The sequence below is a fragment of the Homo sapiens genome, chromosome 14 (assembly GCF_000001405.40).
Source record: "Homo sapiens chromosome 14, GRCh38.p14 Primary Assembly".
NCBI classification, from domain to species: domain Eukaryota; kingdom Metazoa; phylum Chordata; class Mammalia; order Primates; family Hominidae; genus Homo; species Homo sapiens.
This window is the reverse complement of record NC_000014.9, coordinates 54,220,598-54,226,103: the sequence shown is the minus strand read 5'-3', so window position 1 is coordinate 54,226,103 and position 5,506 is coordinate 54,220,598. Positions and strand designations below refer to the sequence as shown.

At 37.6% G+C, this 5,506-nt stretch overlaps 1 annotated feature.

Annotated features, from left to right (window-relative positions):
* Positions 4,327 to 5,239: an enhancer, noted in NCBI's record as "VISTA enhancer hs1414". NCBI's record gives its function as "enhancer in: limb[10/13]" and the evidence as "EXISTENCE:transgenic organism evidence [ECO:0001131][PMID:17130149]".

Below are 5,506 nucleotides of genomic sequence, written 5' to 3'. Positions count from 1 at the left end.
TCATTCCTCCTGTTTCTTATATTGAATTGTACTATGGAATTTCATTTAGATATTTCCTCAGTGAAAAGGAAAGAAAAGTGAATGAAACTATACCATTCAAAATATTAAAAATGATCTGGGGGAGAGATGGAGGATTGTTTCATTACCCAGGGTTAACTGAATAAGAGGAAATAAAAGAACGTTGTTGCAGCATTTTATTATCCACTCTCCAGCCTAATGCAGTTGTGGGACTCTTGGCAAAACTGCCGCTTTATCTTAAATGAACTGCAGTATGTTGCAGTACTGAAGTGTTTCGGAAGAACAGGCACTCCATTATTTTTGCAGAGATTACCTGCTTCAAGTGAAACCTATACGAAATCCTTTCTGACCTGTTTGGTATTGTGATATTGATAACCAGCCACACTTTCCAGCCCCTTATCTTGCCTTCTACGGGATAATCTTTTCTTCTGGATCTTAATTCTGCTAATAGCACCCTTGACTGGCTGCCAGACAACAAACACAGGCAGGTGAAAAATGAATGGCTCCAGCCTGACCGCTGATAACTTCCAAAGGCTTTTTATTCTCAGAATTCCCTCCAAAAAATACAAGATGACAGGATGCCTGTCAATTGCATTCCTCTTGCTCTGTTCTGCAGGCACCCACCCGCCCCCGGAAGCCCCCTCCCTTCTTATGATTTATTCCTGTAAGGGGATGGCTAATTAATCTCTGCTCTGTTTGCTTTTTTCTTTCTTTAAAAAATTTAGAAAGTAATATGTATGTGTTAAAAGCTAGAAAACACACAACAGTGTATAAAGTAAAATGTTCTCTTCCTTCTTTATACCTAATGGTTTTCACTGCAAACAGTTTGGTGTGAATTTTTCCAGACCTTTCTACATACACATAAACATATATGTCTATTTTTCTTTTTAATAACAAAAACTGATGCCAAGCTATTCACGTTGTGTTCTTAATATATCATGAAGATCTTTTCTTAGTACATACAAATATTCTTCGTCCTTATTTTATTGTCTGTAAGATACTCCATATTCAGCATGTAATGTAATTCATTAAATTGGTCATTATTAAGCATTTTTATTGTTTCCAATTTTTCTACATTTTATGTGTAATGCATTTCTACTTTTATTTTCTACCACAGTTAACATTTTTTTTTGTATTTTCACAATTGTCCAAGAGTTACTTCTAGTTGCTTTTTTAAACCCCCATAATTTTTGTGTGTTTTGGTTTTTGTGCTATTTTAAAAACCAGGAACATGTGATATAGCTAAATTAAAGGTGGAGTTGGAGAAAGTAATTTCCCATATAACTGGTTAATGTATGGATTTACCTTCTGTCATTCTGAGGCTTACCATAGTTTAAAATTAACAAAGTGAGTATGCACCATAGATACACAAAATAATTTTAGAAAAAATTACTTTCCTGATTTATTATCTGTGGAAATGAGTTATACAACTCTAAAAATTCAAAAAACCCAGAAGTTTTATTCTGTGAAATCAATATACCACATTGTATAGGACTTGAACTCTGAAAAGTGCTGAAAACAGCTTACTGCCTTCACTTTGCAGGGGGCTCTGGAAAGCCCACACTACAGGCAGCACAGGGGAACAATGGCTTGTTGGCTCCAGAGTAAAATTTTGTACTCCTACAAAATTCTCGATGCTTCTGTGACTCCCAGACCTGGGCACTGTATCTAACAATGTAGTGAAATCAATCTCAGAATAAGACTCATTTGGTACCAAAGCAGTGATTTAGATGGAACATTTAAGCATATGATTATAAGGTAAGTCCTACTAAGGAGGCCTGGCACGATTAGCTTTGCTGGAATATATAAAAGTATCAACTGTTCCTTCAGGGAAATCATTTTAATAGATAACAGCATGTTGTACAATGTTTCATCAGTGATATTTAGATCTAAATTAAGAGCAGTTGTGAGATGGGTTGCCGATTTTTCTTGTGATAAAAGGGAAATAGTTCAAGAAATATAGACCAGATGTTATCTTAATCCATACCTCATGTAAAAAAGCACACTATGGGACAGTAATAGTAGTCCGTTCTACCTGTTTTTAATTTTCCTACTCTTAGACACCCCCTGTGAAAAATAGATTAAACCAACACATCATTTATGCATCAGTACTAGACTGCGGTTCACTCTGTATGGAATGTACAGATTGACGTTTGTAGCCAGCCATTGGTTTTTGATAAATGTTTTAAAATGCTCATTTGGCAGTAGCATTTAAGAGGAAAAAACCCTTAGACAGTCAATGGCTTAGAAGAAAAGTTCACAGTTTGGGAATAGTCCAGGCTTCAGCAAAGATTCTTAAATTCATTGCTCTTTGAGCTACAAAATCTATCATAAATTTATATGAAGTCAGAATCAGAAACATGAATAATACAAAACTCTCCCGATCCTGAAAAGTGCTTCTAGCTTTTTTGTATGCGTCCACCTATGGCCGTGTTTGCATCTGTTGAGTAGGGAAGCGTGGCTTCATAGGTCCCTGGAGTGTGATATCCAGTGCCCTAGGAGGGTATGTGGAGGGGACTGTCAAGGGTTCGTTTTGCAGGAGAGGGGCTTTTCAATCATGTTTCTATCTTGGATGCCACCTTATGCCTGTCACCTCACTTCACCTGGGCCTGGGTTAATTGGGGGTATTACAGGTTAAAATCTGATTCTAGCAAGTCTGTGAAAGTTGTATGTACATGTGAGAGCTAGCTCCAGGGTCCCTTGCAGCAGAAGATGGCTGCAGGGACCTGGCAGGCTAAGTGAGTGAAGGATGGATGGAAGACGAGAGGGCGGAGTCAGGGTCATGGTGAGCTGAAGTGCACATTTAAGGGTGCAAGGGCTACTCAGCTTCAATTTTTGTTATTCAAGTTTGCTGGCTAATATTAATAAGTTACTTAGGTTTCTTTGTTTTCAGATAAATTGTAAATCTCCATTTTAATGTCAAGTATTTTGATCTATTCTGGTTATATATATATCATACAATTTGCCATTTTAGCTGTTTTAAATGTACCATTGAGTGATATTAAATACATGCACATTGTTGTGAAACCATCTCCAGAATTTTTTTCATCTCTCCAAATTGAAACTCTGTACCCATTAAATAATAACTACCCCCAATCCACAGCCCCTGACAACATCATTCTACTTTCTGTTTATGAATTCGACTACTCTAGGTAGCTCATGCATGTAGAATCACATAAGATTTGACCTTTCGTGAGCAACTTATTTCACTTCGCATAATGTCTTCAAGGTTCATCCACGTTGTAGCATGCGTCAGAGTTTCCTTTCTTTTTAAGGCTGAATAAAATTCGGTTGTATGTATATACCACATTTTATTTTATCCATTCACTCATTGATGGACACTTAGGTTGCTTCTACCTTTTGGCTATTGTGAACAATGCTGCTAGGAATCTCCTGGGTTTTAAAACACGTTGGCCTTGGGAAGCATGTCTTCAGGCTGGATTGAGGTCTTGGGTGGCCACTTTGTAAGCTGTGTCTGAGGACAAGTGTGTGGTAGCCAGATCATACTTTTCCTCTAAAGGAAAGTAGCCATGTATAGAGAGGGATACTAAAGCAACAATTTAATGGAGTCCCCAGTGGTCCAAAAGAGTGAAACCAGACTGGCATTCTCTTCCTGGGTATACTTTTTCACAGAGGGAGAATTTGGTGCATTGTGATCATGGCTGCCTCCAGGCCTTGCTTGCTTTCTGTTGTGCCAATGGGAGTCACTATGCTGAATGGAACAATTAAGACAAGCCAGAGTCCACTCCTGGAAAGACCCTTCAACTGCTGGCAAAACTCTTCACTACTTTTTTTCTAGGAGAATCAATGCTTTTTTCAAAATGTGATATTTCCATTTTTATTTCACAACAGAGAGGCAGGTCTGCGCAGTAAGAAAAATGAGCCTTTCGGGGCCGCCCACACAGCTCAGCCTCGGCAGGGGGAGTTGTTCCAAACAGCTTCAATAGGGATTACAACTCAGGATTTACATTTTAAAATAATTAACCTTCTGATCACCAGTGACAGTCTGAGAGCATTTTAATGACCATTGTTGTTTTAATTGGAGTGAAAGCAAAAGCTTTAGAAAACTCTTTTTTCTTATCAGAATCTAGGCAAAAATGTGATTTTTGTTATTCTGAAGGAATGGGAAAAAATTACAAATTTTCCCAACTTTAAATTACCTACAAAGATTTATCGTGATCAGAACTGTATCCGCAGTGCTAAACACATGCTTGCATACTGTGGGTGCTTGGTAAATATTTGTAAATACTGCACTTAACAACTCTATGCAATTGTTATTGGAAGCCATTAGAAGGGTTTTGAAAACGATGAAAACAAAGTGTGGGATGAAAAGTACGTCTCAGTTTATGTGCTTTACATATTCTTTCCAAAATCTATATTTGCTTTTAAAACAAAGACTTAGCCAAAATTAGCTCTTAATGTAAAAAAGACCCCGTCAGTAGTTGCAGCAGGACATACAGGTTAATACTGAAAGAGTGTTATTAGTAATGACCAAAGACCTTTAGCCTCCTGTCCAAAATTCTGTTTTACTGTATAGAATGAGAATGTAAACTCTATCATGTTGGGCTATTTAGTAACTTATTAGTGCATTCATCTTTTCATCATTTGACAGGTGGAAGTAGTAGTTCAGTTTTTAGTTTTAATTATAAGGGATTCCAGATGTAGAATGCTACACAAATTAAAACCAGAGCTGCTCATATGTCCTTTCAAAGTAGGCTGACTTCAAGGTATCTGCTTTTCATTTCAAAATGTTATTAAAGCTATTACTAAGAAATTCATAGTCTTAGCCTGTTCCAATAATTGACACCTTTAAAGTGACTAAACAGATTTAGAGTGTGCAGAAAAGTAAATTTGTCTTAGAGAATGACCCTAATCATCTATTTCCATATAATGGACAAATCAGTGTCCTTGGAACAAGCCTGGGAGTTGATGAATTAAGCTAAAGGGTTCCCCTGTTCCCTCACTCTTTCTCAGTTTTACTTTTGCCTTCCCAAATAAATCTTCCTTACAGATACATGCAATTTAGGAGTGAAGATTGAATGATCTGTGCTTACCTGAATTTATGGTTCTGCAACTTTATTTTTGCCCATTGGAACAAGCAGAAACATTTTCATGGAAACGAAACAACTGAAGCCAGAAACCTTTTGCTTTTTATTTACTTTGATAAGCAGTCGTGGGGAAAGTTCTGTCCACAAAAACTTTCCAACACCCATTTCCTAGCTCCTTGTTCATTGAACACCTACAAAAGTAGTTTCATAAACAGCGGAGATTTTCAGTAATTAGAAGGATAGCTGGCTGGGCTGATAAATCAGAGAAATAACTTGTTTGGTGTAAACCGAGCCTGTTTCTGAGGCAGAAACGTTAGGCTTTTATCCTCTGGAGTGTGATTGAAAGGGTGAGAAGTTAATTTGGCAGCCTCGCTTCTATGGTTTCATAATGTTTCTCCCCACCCCCTCCCTCCAGCCCCAGCGAAGCCCCGGGATTGCAG